The sequence below is a fragment of the Homo sapiens genome, chromosome 17 (assembly GCF_000001405.40).
Source record: "Homo sapiens chromosome 17, GRCh38.p14 Primary Assembly".
Taxonomy (NCBI): domain Eukaryota; kingdom Metazoa; phylum Chordata; class Mammalia; order Primates; family Hominidae; genus Homo; species Homo sapiens.
Genome location: NC_000017.11, coordinates 57,626,029 through 57,638,533, shown reverse-complemented (window position 1 = coordinate 57,638,533; position 12,505 = coordinate 57,626,029). Strand labels below are relative to the sequence as shown.

The window sequence follows — 12,505 nt, the reverse complement described above, 5'->3', positions numbered from 1 at the left end:
CTTCCTGAAGGCTGTCCAGCAGAGTCAACGGCTCCCTCTGTACCCTGTGCAGCTGCTCCAATCACTCAGGAACACATCTGGCCGCACGTGGGATGCTCCTTCAGGCTCTGAATTCCTTGCACCCTTGCTCAGCAACTTGTGCCCCAGGAGGCCCTGTCTCGGGTCGGGTGCTGATGACCATTTCCAGCTCTCTGCAGAGAATGTGCCTTTGCCCCAACTGAAGTGACAGAGAGCAGAGGCAGTGACCCAGCTGGGTGGGGTCTCTCAGGGGCAGGGGATTCAAGCTGACCTGGGCTCTGCAAAAAAGTCTCTGTGCAGGATTCCTTTCAGCCTGGAGAGGAGAGGGTGGGGGGACACATCTTTGCCTTCTGCTTTGTCCTTGGCTGCCAGAAGGCACCAGCTACCCGAACCTCAGGCCTGGCACTGCTCTTTGCCTAGAATTTCACATGCTGAGTAATTTTCTGTTTTTCGTTGTTGCTTTGTTTTTTAAGTTGCAGCCTTTCACGTGTTTTTGCTGATGGAAATGAAAACTGAAGGGCTTGAAGAAAGGTGATTAAGTTCCTGCTAGCAGACTTAATGGGGACTTTGCAAGGCTGGTGGTACAGGGACCTAAGCAGGTGGGGAGTGGAGGAAAATGAGATCTGGTGGGCACGGGGCCTCAGTCCACAGAGGACGAGGTGTGGGGTCACCTGCAGCCTCCCTCACTGTAGCTGCTGCCATCCTGCCATAGCTGGCGGGGCCCTCTGCTCCTTGGGCCGGGTTGCCTTCCTTGGTCATGACACTAACCTTTTCTAAAGCACTAGATCATTCCCGGTCCGACTAACCCTCTCAACAACCTGTGAGGAAGGATCAATAGCCTGATTTGACAGATGGGGAAACCGAGGCCTAGAGATGGCCTTATTTTCCTGGCAAGCTAAGGGCAAGAACTCAGTATCCTGGCTTCCTGCCTGAGGACACGGGGCTCTGGGCTTTGCCATGGGGAGCTGAGCGCTCACTTAGTCACATTTCCGTTTATTTATGCAGAGGAGCTTCAAGAGGCACAGAAAGCTGATCGGAAGTGAAACCCACAATTCTCGTCAATTCAGATTGCTCCAATTCATTTCTGCAAACGTTTATTAAGTGCCTATTAGGCACCGTGCTCTGCTTTCATCTGGGAATAGAGTCAACTCCTGATTTTCCACGCCGAGGGAGGAACGTGGCAACATATCCACAGCCCCGACGAGCCTCGTGCCGCGGTCGGTCTGGGTTTGGGGTGTGCCACTGAATTTTACTTCTCTGTCTTCTTTTAAAGCAGCAGACATGCTTTCCTGTCTAAGCTTGCCTTTAATATTCAAATGAGAGGATAGGCCCCAAGTATACACAGGGCCAGGTGGCGCAGGAGTGGGCTGGCCATGAGGGAGCTCGCTTGTGATTTGAAATCTGGCTGTGGATCTAATCTGGGAAGGGGTAATCCCCAGAGACGAGGCTCAAGGGCTGAAGGGATGTTCAGATTAGAGGGCTGGTGATGAGACAGATGTGTGGGGGCTGCTGTGTCAGGAGGGCTTTTCTTGACAGGGAGCATTTCTGTTTACAGTGCTGCAGCATCTAGCTGGGGTCCCTGGACGCACGAGTCCATGCTTATGGCAGCCTACCTGGGAAACTGACTAGCCTGTCTTGATATTTCAAGATCTGTGTCCCTACTAGCAAGAAACCAGCCATTGCTCGCTGGTTGGGCTCCATTCTGGAAGCCAACCAGAAGCACTGCACCAGGCAGAGCCTGAGGGTCTGTCAGGGGTCCTAGTGAGGGCATTTCTGGGGCAGGAGATGAGGAAACAGTCCCTTAAAAACTGAAGCAGGAGGAAAGAGGGAGTTTCAACTTACAGGAAAATGAGGGGCCGTCCAGGCAAGCCTGGAATCGCCTCCGCAGACAAGATTACAGAGCCTGGGGAGGGGAACTCTGTGCTCTCACTGAACTAGGCCAGAAAGAGCAGGACACAGGAGACGCCAAGGCAGGAAGCAGCTCCCTGAGCGCACCCCGGGGTCTCGCCTCTCCTGAGTGGGGACTGACCGCAGAGGTCTCTGCCACTTGGGTGGGCTAGAGGAGGGGGTGGATGGAAGGGCTCTGAAGTTGCTCCCCCCGGTGGCCCAGGTTACCACTCCCAGCCAGGGTCCTAGGCCTTGAGCATGGCAGCTGCAGCATTTTTGAATGTTTTGCAAAATGTCAATGACCAGACAGATCTGGCAGGTGAGTGACAGCAGGTTCAGGATGCAGCCCCTTGCCTATGGCCAAGGCTTCTCTCTCGGTCACCTTGCTAACGCCAGCTCCTCCACCTCCTGAGAACTTGGACCCCTTCACTCTGATTTCCACATCCAAGCCCTACCCCTCAGGCTAAGACGGACCACAAGCCTCTGCCTTTGCTCAAAGACCTGATGACTTGACTGAAGCTTACCTTGCAAGCAGCCCTACAGACAATGGACTACAGCGGCTTCCCTCCAGAGGAACAGGATATCCCTGAGCTAGCAGATCCCTCTCCTCAGACACCAACCCTCCCCACTCCCCCACGTATCTTTTAGAGTGATGGAAAATCACCTGGCGCCGAAGAACCATCATTGGACAGGAATATAGAAGGCAAGCTACATGGCAGACAGGCCGTGAGTCCTTCCTGGTACAGCAATCGGCCACATCGCTAATCACAGCCGTCCTTTCTGCTGAGCTAGGACTTGGCCTCAACATCATTCTGAAGCCAGTGCTCCAGGAATCCAGTGCTCATCAGTCAGCATCAGGACCCGAGAGCAAACCTGTTTTCCGTTGCTGAAGAGGTAGGAGCACAAACTGGCACTTTTATAACCAGAGTTCAAGCTCAGCAGGCTGGGGAAGGGTCTCCCTGCCTGGGGAGCTGTGCTGCCCCTGCCGTTTGCACACAGTATCCTGGGAGGGAGGTTTGGGCACCAAGCCATGACACGTTAGCTTGGCCTCCTGGCCACCCCGAGTGCTCTGTGGCTGAGGCTACTGTTGGTTGCCAAAATATTGGCCCAGAGGCCTTTTGGCGGTTAGGGCCATAGAACTGCATAGAACTGCAGGGCTCAAAGAACCACCAGCCAGCCCCACGCAGGGAGAGAGGGATGGAGCCAAGAGAGGATGAGGTGGAGAGGAGATGGGGTGCAGAGAGAAGGGACAATCCTCCAGACTCACCCTCATGGCCTCCCACTTCTCCAAACCCCTCTGACTCACTATGGAAGTTCGACCACATCACTTCTGTATGTGAAATCATCTCCAAGTACTTCACGTGCTTTGGGGATCAAATTTAACTTCCTAAACTTGACTCAGGAGGCCACCATGGCTCCAGCCTTGTAGATCTCCTCCCACCCAAGATGCTTCTGCAAGCTCCCTGTGCACTGAACTACTCACAGTCCCTGGGACCTGCAATGTTTCCTCTCTCAGGTATGTAGCAGAAATTGCTAAGTGTCTACTAGTAGCCGTTCCACTCTGCTTTTTTAGTACCAAAATCCTTTATTTTTATCTGAGCACATGGCTACCTGGAAAAAAGACACCTCTGAGGTTTCCAGGCAGCTGAAACTGGTCATGTGACCAAGTTCTGACCAATGGGATCTAAGCAAAATGTCCTGCATGACTTATAGGAAGCATTACTAAAGGGAAGAGATGTAGTCTTCTGGGATGAACATGTGATGGCTGGAGTTTGAGCAGCCTTCTTAGACTATGAGGTGGAGTCTTATGCTGAAGAGAGTAGAATGAGAGTAGAGAAGAAACCCAGACCATGAGTATTATGGAGCCACATCCAGGCTTCTTTTACATGAGAGATAAATGAATTCTTATTTTGTTTAGTCCATTATTATTTTGTGTCTTATTACTTTTGTGTTTCTCTTCTTTCTTAAAACTATCTGATTCAATGTCTAAGCATGTCATTTCTCTGTCTGGGATATACTTCCTTTCCTTCTTTACCTGGCTAATTCTATTTGGCTTTTTGAGACCCAGTTCTGGTGTCACCTTCTCTAGAGGGCACTCTGAACAAGCAGCCCACCCTTGCACCCTTACAGCATAGAGAGCTTCTCTCTCTCTCTTTTTTTTTTGAGACAGAGTCTCACTCTGTCACCCAGGCTGGAGTGCAACCGCGTGATCTCAGCTCACTGCAACCTCCGCCTCCCAGGCTCAAGCGATTCTCCTGCCTCAGCCTCCCAAGTAGCTGGGACTACAGGCACCCGCCACCACTCCGGGCTATTTTTTGTATTTTTAGTAGAGATGGGGTTTCACCATGTTAGCTAGGCTGGTCTTGAACTCCTGACCTCAGGCAATCCACCGGCCTCGACCTCCCCAAAGTGTTGGGATTATAGGTGTGAGCCACTACGCCTGGCCAGAGCTTCCCTCTCTCTAGTGAAGTGCCTGTCTCATGATGTTCAATTGGTCTTATCACTGCTTCTCTCTCCCTTGGGTAGCCCAAAAGCATCTGAAGGAGTCAGTCTTATTCATGTCCAGATGTCTGGTACCTATTTCAGTACCTGGTGATAGCAAAATGAAGAGGGAAGAGAGGGAAGGAGGGAAGAGAAAGGATGGGGCCTGACGGTGGGGAGGAAGTCCTAGCAAGTCTCTAGCTTCACGTAGGAATCCTGTATCATTCCTTTCACTGATGACAGATCCCTCATGGGGGATAAAAATGGGAAAACCACTCTGGAGAGCTGACTTAGTAAGAACATCAGTGCCCACTATTTCTAAAACTTCCAATTTTATAGCATTTACCAACTTACAAGGCACATTCATGCACATGTTATCCCTTAATTGTAACAACTCAACTAACTAGGCACTTTCATCATCTTCAGGGCTTGGAGGGATACATGACTTGCTCAAGGCCACATGGCTACTAAGTGGCCAAGTGGGACCTGGAAACCAGGTCCTCCGGCTTCATATCCAAGAACATTCCCACTGTCCACTGGTGCCTCCTCTGCCTGCAGTGCTCTGGGGAGTCAGGAAAGCAGGCCACGTGCACAACCACACACAGGCCCGTGGGCGCGAGGGTAAGACGGCGCACACACCTAGTGCACAGATGTGAGGGGCTCCAGATGTGTGTGGCATTTTCACTTGAGAGGGGAGCCGTGGCGGAGGAAGGAGCATCGGGGCGATACTGTGCAGCTGGCGCATGCAGATGCTCTGCCACTCTGCTCAAGGACAGACCACCTCAAGCAAGTACAGGGGATGCCAGGAGGCAGGGAGGGCTGGGAACAGGCGGCAGCCAGGGGGAGTTCGCATGCTTTTAGAAACTGCACTAGGCTGTCATCGGTGCTGGTTATTCAGTGCATTCACCTCCCCCGGAGCGAGAACAGGACACTGTCAGGCTAAGAGACGGCAGCACACAGTATGTCCATGGTAAACAATTTATTTTTCTACCTCGGTTGCTTACAGGGGAAAAAAAATAAAACGTCATCAGGGAGAAGCACAGATGAACTATTTACAGAGATGAAGAAAATTCACAATGGCTAAAACGTTTGTGAGGCAAGCATACTAGGACAAGTTCACCAAAGCAAAGCAATTCATAGCAAAACAAAATATGGAGATGGGGAAAAGCCATACAGATTTGTTCTTTGAAAAAAATAATACTCATGGAAAAGCCTGCAGGAAAATAAAAGGAAACTAACCAATTATTACATCAAGCATCTTTAATGAGATGAGCCAAACTGCACATGTAGGGTCTCAAGGACAATGACATTCAAATGTATGGATTCACTCACATCAAATGCATCAAATGGAAGCGTGCGGGTCACTTCTCACAAACTACCAGCACAGACAAAGCAGTGACTCTTGAGGGTCCAACTGAGTGGTACGTCATTATTCCAAGAGAGTGGGTGTATTTCAGTTAGGGAAATGAAGGAAGTCAAGCCATGGGAAAAGATCCTTCTAAGGGTGATGGGCAGGAGTGCCAACCTTGAGATGGGGCCTGATCAGGATGGGCCCCCTGTGTTCCACCCCCTCCTACTCCAATGGTGCCAGCAGGCAAGGCCAGGCCAGCACAGGCAGGGAGGCGAGCTGGGGAAGGCGGGGCCCACTGTGGATCGGTGCCCACCGTGCCTGTCATGTGGCAGCACCTGGATGACTCCACTGTCCCTTCTCGAAGACAGACAGGCTTGTGATTATGCCAACAGCCACTGGCCCCAAAAGACAAAGATAGTCAGATAGTGTTTATATAGCTCCTCTTCCAGATCAGGTTTCTCACATTCTTAGAGAATAGTCTGTCTCTGTGTGTTCACCTTTATCACTGTCCATCGTAAGACACGGGTGCTCCAAGTCACGTATCTGCAACCCCTCTGGACCACCAGCACTTCAAAGCTCACCCCATGATATGTCCCCAACAAGCCTGTTTGGTCATGACTTAAAAACATTTGATGTCTTCTTCCTAGCTTCCCCTGAGGAGGCTCTACGAAGTTTGTGAGAAGTTTCCCTCTGGCCCCGTTACATTCTGAGGAAGTGGGGTCGGTCACAATGCATACAAGAAGCAAAGTGGGAGGGGACTGGAGAATAATTTTTTTTTAATTGAGTGAAGCAATGAGGACATGAGTCCAAGAATTAAAAATGAGAAAAAGAACAGTCATTCAAACAGGCAGCTAAGACAGACTTTCAGTGAGCATTGACTGGAGCGGGGGCAGCCCAGGCCGGGACTGTGTCCTCTCTCTCTAGAAATGGTAGCAACCCCCACTTTGCTATGCCTCTCTTAAGAGCTAGTTGATAAAAATTATGTCTTGTGAAACCGGCAAATAGTCTGCAAAGTGAAATAAGAACAGAAATTAACAGATTAAACTGAAATGAGAAGTCCAGAGTGGGGAAAAGAGAGGAAGCAGGGGAGATCCCTGATCACAACCCATAATAATTCAAGACGGGATCCTGATCCAAATTCCAGGCTGGGGTGGACACCTGGATGTGGGAAGAAGGAGCTGTTCCCAGAGTGGTTGGTCACCACCCAGCCTTTCTAGAAAAGAACTACTCCCCACTCTAAAAACTATCCAGTGTCTAGCCTTCTCTAGGAACATTTATTCTGACAGAATTCTGAAGATGGGCACAGCCAGGTGCCACTTGCCACCAGCTGTGTGGCCCAGGAAGGTCCGTGCAGCCCCATGTCACATGGTGAGAATGAGGCTCTACTAAGAGTGATATCTGCACCCCCAACCAGATGAGATGGATGTTCATAGAAAGGGTAAGTCCAGGTGGAAAGGAGGACCCTTCATAAAGGGGATCAGATTGCATCTTCCTGAAAGGGGACCCAGGCTACCTGGTTTATGAGTGAGAACAGCCAGGATGAAGAGTCTCGGAGCTCTCTAGGACCTGGGCGTGCTTTCATTTCTCCCAGCTAGCTGTCTTGCATGGCCCTGCTAGGGGGACTCAGAAAGGGGCTGGGAGAGGTTCGGGATCCATGCACAGCATGAGGGGGACCGGAGGTGGGAAGTGGGTAAAGTGGGCATACAGTGAGGACACTGAAAAGAAAGACCACAAAGAAAACATCAGGATAGTTGGGAGGTGACATGACTGCTGTGTAATGTCACGAAGTCACAGGATCCCCGGGGCATGGCAGGGGTTCGCAGAATCTACCTGATGGGGATGAGGAGAGGGCAGAGGGCTGGGCTGCCCCATCTCTGGGTCCCCCTTCTGTACCCCAGCCGCCTCGGCCAGATCCACCCGAAACTTTCCTTATTGGCATGAGGTGACAGATGGAAGTCAGGGCATCCAGAAGCTTCTCTGTAGCCCTGGCCCTGAGGCTGTGGCTCCAGGAGTCATCAAGTTTGGTTCTAGAGGGGCTCAGCTACTCCCTGCGCTCTTGACTGGAATGACACATGGACCTACCTAGGCTTTGTGTCTGGAAACATTTGGCTGCTTGGGGAGGCATCTGGGATAAGCACAGACCCAACACTCCACAAGGAGCATATCCTTTGGGAGGGGGTCAGGAGGGGAATAGACTCTGACCCTAGCCTGGCTTCTCAGATGAGTGGGGTGGGCGGCCCCAGCCATGGGGCCACCCTTCCCAGTTCAGGGCCACTCCACTCTTGCCCTCCCTGAGAGCAGGCAACCTTACTCTTGTGGCCACTGGTGGCCCCTTTCTGGCCATTAGTTAAGAGAATCAAGAGGCTTCCATAGTGAGTGGGAAGGTGGGAAGGATGGAAAAATAAAAGTTTGATGGTTGAGAACAGGGCAGCTAACTCCCAAAGGTCAGGAAGCTGCTGTCTGTACATTGTAATGCCTGATTTCTGTCCCATTCAAACCCACCTGATTGTATTAAGCTGCAGGGACTGTGGCCATGACAAACGGATGGGCCCTGGGCAAAAACACTCCAACCCCACTCTATCCTCCTTCCTGCAGCCCAGTCCATCCCCCGCCCCCCCAGTTCCCAAAGTCTTGGCTTTGGTGAAGGGCTGGGCACCCAGGGGACCCTATCTCACTCTGCCCAGCCTCAATCTGGTCACTGCTGCATGTCCGTCTGCCTGGGGCAGGCCCAGGGATGCAGGCCATGGAGGCAGAGTTCTACTAGATGTCTCCTGAGCCAGCTCATGGGGGCCCCGGGGCAGGCCCTCTGATGAGACAGGGGCCTTAGCATAGGGTCCACATTGATGTCCTCTCCCAATTATTCCATGTTAAGATCCCTCAACTCTGTCCTCCTGGGACTAGCATCACACTCAGGGGCAATGGCAGCCTGATTACGGAGGGGAGCAGGTTGTGCAGGCTGAGTGCACAGATCAGTGCTGCACCTGGAGGGCCGAGATGCGTGAGCCTTTGCACCTGTCATCCCCTGGAGGGGAAGCGAGGGGAGGAAGTGAGAGGAAAAGCCACCAGCTTCTGGGCTGAGCAAGACTGGCAGAGAATGAAGCACAGGGACACTGACCCCATGGGTGTCTCCAGGAAGGAGTGGTGCGCATGTGTGAGTGTGTGGACCGTGCACCCCCCAGTAACAGCCCTCTTCCTTTAGGCACTGGAACAGCACCAGCCCGTAAGAAATTTCCACGGTGACTGTTCTACATTCTGTGCTGGCAATAGCCACTTGCCACACATGGTTACTGAGTCACTGAAATGTGGCCAGTGTTTCTAAAGGAACTGAAATTTTCTTTTTACTTCTTCTTATTCTTCTTCTTATTTTTGAGACAGAGTCTCACTCTGTTATCCAGGCTGGAGTATAGTGGTGTGATCTCGGCTCACTGCAACCTCTGCCTCCTGGGTTCAAGTGATTCTCTTGCCTCAGCCTCCCGAGTAGCTGGGATTATAGATGCCGGGCACCACGCCCGGCTCATTTTTATATTTTTAGTAGAGACGGGGTTTCACCATGTTGGCCAGGCGGGTCTCGAACTCCTGACCTCAAGTGATCCTCCCACCTCGGCCTCCCAAAGTGTTGGGATTACAGGCGTGAGCCACCGCACCCAGCCAACTTTAATTTAAACCTAAGTTTTAGTAGCTCTTTGTGGCTAGTGTTATTGTACCAGAAAAATGGACACTAGGGAGATGGTGGAGGGTGGCAGTTAAGGCCCAGACCGCCTGGTCCAAATGCAGGTCCTACCCCTTGCGTACTGTGACCCCTTCAGAAGGAGTTTCTACCTCTGTGCCTGTGCCTGGTGGGGGTCTCTGCCTGGAAATGGGAAAGTCTAATGACAGTGGCTGGTTGAGTGCTGGCCTCTCTTGTGGTGGTCCTTCTTGCATGTGCCCTTCTTTTCTTCAGGTCTGGGAGCCTGTGGCCATCCTGAAGCAGCCTGCTGCTGGGGGGCATCTTTGGGGACGGCTTCCTTAGTGCGGGCCGAGGAGTCTTGTTGAGGCCCCTCCCAGATGGGGAACCATCCCAGCCCCAGGGGACACTGGTGGGGGAGCCACCTGCACTCAAACTCCTCCATCTTGGACTTCTGCTTCTGTGCCTGCCTTCCCTGCACCCTCTGACCCACACAATCGGAGAGGGGCACAGACCCCAAAGACCATTCCTCGTAGACCCCCTTTTCCAAAAGAGAGAAGTAAGGCCCTAGAAGCTGAGTGACCCGCCCATGGCCACTTGGCCAGGTGGTATCGGAGACAGGACAAGAGCTTGGGGCTTCCACCGCTGGTTGAAGGATCTGTCTGCCATAGAGCACGGCTCTAGGTGCCCCCAAATGCCTCCTCATCTCTCCAACTACACCCTTCCCGCCCCAATGCTTGGTCTGAGGCAAAGACCAGGCCAAGCCCTCACTCTGCCCTCCTGTCATCAGTGTCAGGGCGCCATCTTCCAGCGACGCGTCTTCACTCCCTTTGCTTCCTAATTCATCTCAGACCCTGACACTCCCAGACCTCCAGGTCTAGGCATGACGACAAGGCAGGGGTGAAACTCCGCCTGCAGCCCAGCTCCCCAGGGAGCCTCCTCCCTCAGCAGAAAACCCACAGGGGACAAGACTCTGTCCCTACACCTCCTCTGGAATCTCGGCTGTCCTTTGCACATGGAGACCCCCAAACACCCCAATATATTCTTATCTGTACTCCAGATTTGAGAAAGGCTGGGGAAAAGCATACCCTGTAAAACATCGCTTCCTTCATTGTCCCTACCCCATCCCTACAAGACCATGTTTCCCCTCGCTGCTTCTCCCAGGTGAGGTCCCAGGCCTGCCAGCTACCTGGAGTTGGAGCTGGAGCAGCCCTGGCATGTGGCGGGCATCACCATGGGCTCTGCCTCAAGTCTTGATACCCACGCAGAGGGAAAGGATAATCTAAACAGCTCACCCAGGATGGACAGCAGTCCCAACCCCTAGCAGCTCAACATCAACACAGCCCAGAAGGACGCCGAAGCCACAGCAGTCAGGACGGAGCAGGAGGAGGAGGGGTGGAGGAAAGGAAGCAAGGGCGGGGAGACATCAAACATTGGGCAGGTGGACACAGGGAGCGGGGAGGCGGGCAAGGGGTGGTAGAGGGTGAAAGAAAGCCCTGGGCCTAGAGTTCAGTCCCCAGTGAGAAAAAACCCGGAAGAGGCTTCAGAAAAAGGAGGTGAGCACAGGGAGGCCTCCTGCCTCCGTTCTGCTTTCCCTTTAAAAGCTGCCGTTCTCAAATACCCGGCACCAGTGAGTTATACCTGAGTTAATCAAAAACTCTGAGCTGCATCCTGGCCTTGAACTTCAGTGGATTTGAAATTTATCATGTATAGGTCATTTTCAAGTGGATGCATGTAAGAAATGCATTCTCTTTAGGGGTCCTCTCACCTCCCCGCAAATGCAGCCCACCTCTTGTGCTTCCAAAGCCCTGGGAGACCAAGCCACTCACCTGGGAACTGATAGCCATAGCTTGGAGCAAATCCGGGGTAGCCACGGCCATAGGTCGCCACGAAGTTGGGATATCCTTGAACACAAAGAGAAAGATCAGAGTCCTGTTAGTACAGCCGCCTCAGGTCTGGGGTAAAATCTCACGGAGGGTGGCAATGAGGAAAGCCTGAGTTATTTTCCTTCACAGAATAATTTGTCTCTCATGAGGGTTTTTTTATTAAGGGTCTGGGTCACCTCTCTCCTGTGGCCGGGGGCGCTGCTGTCAGCTGTTGCTAATTAACCCATATTTGGGCAGCCAGACCCCGCAAAGCCCATGTACTTTCCTGAACCTTCAGAGTAAATGCCATGCATCAGCACCAAACACAAAGCCTGCGCCTGGCTCTGACATTTGGAGAGCTTACCCTGCATGTACTTTACCTTAAAGCTATTGACAGTAGGAGATTAAAGTCCTCGTGATGCATCCTCCCAAGGCAGTGGACAACAGAGCCAGCACCAGACAGAGCATGCGAACTCAGGAGTCACAGTTTAGCGGCCAAACTCAGGGCTCACCCTGGGCCTCTGGAAAACGCTGGGCCTGATGAGCCATGGCCCACACTGCAGTTTTGACACTCCACGGAGGTGCCAAGATCTTTGGAGAATGGTGAGAGGCTGGATGTGTTAAGATGCATACCACAAAGTGTAGCTCCGACTCAGGAGCCCCGTGCCGTGTGACTGGATGGGCGTTTCACCACAAGCGTATTGTTTCTAGACCCCTGTCTCAGCAGGCAAGCTAGGGGGTGAGTGGTTCACTGAAAGACACTTGTAGAAACTGCCACTGGGCTGGCCACTGGGCACACAAGAAACTCAGCTGGCAAGTCCAGGGGCTGGTGTGACCATCTCAGATCTGTCACTAACCCCCAGTGATGTGAGGTGTCATTCAGCTCTCAGGGAGTCATTGTGGCTGCTCAGGCCACTTCGTTCTTCAAGTCCCTGCCTGATTCAGGCTAAATGAAGGCCGTATGGGTCAGGCTCACTCTGCCTCCCTCCACTCAGTGTATATGTAACCTCAGTACATTCTTGCTCTTAAGATGCCACCACGGCCACCCAACCACCGAGAACGTGACTTTCGCTTTGACTTTGGAGGTGAATGTCTGTGGTCATTTTTTGGCTGCCCAGCCCCTGAGCCTCTCCCTGTGTGTAAGTCTTGGAGAGAGGCCCACCCCCCCGGCCATCACAGAAGCTGAGAAGGCCTCAGGGCTCTTCCTGGGGCTGGAGGCTGGGAGGCAGGCCTGTGAAC

At 52.5% G+C, this 12,505-nt stretch overlaps 1 protein-coding gene across 12 annotated transcripts in view, besides 1 other annotated feature; it reads right to left on the bottom strand.

Moving 5' to 3' along the window:
• Nucleotides 1–12,505, bottom strand: part of MSI2 (musashi RNA binding protein 2) — a 445,731-nt gene that overhangs the window by 63,048 nt on the left and 370,178 nt on the right. For 10 of the 12 annotated variants that reach the window (NM_001322250.2, XM_047435313.1, XM_047435314.1 and 7 more), the window contains one exon: nucleotides 11,231–11,305. In NM_001322250.2, coding sequence (NP_001309179.1) covers nucleotides 11,231–11,305 — 75 coding nt within the window. Of the gene's footprint in view, nucleotides 1–5,350; nucleotides 6,744–11,230; nucleotides 11,306–12,505 lie in introns of those variants that run through there. The other 2 variants (NM_001322251.2, NM_170721.2) reach the window with 1 other exon arrangement.
• Nucleotides 8,608–8,707: an enhancer, noted in NCBI's record as "active region_12445". NCBI's record gives its function as "activates an Ori minimal core promoter by ATAC-STARR-seq in GM12878 lymphoblastoid cells {active_cell/tissue: GM12878}" and the evidence as "EXISTENCE:reporter gene assay evidence [ECO:0000049][PMID:35858748]".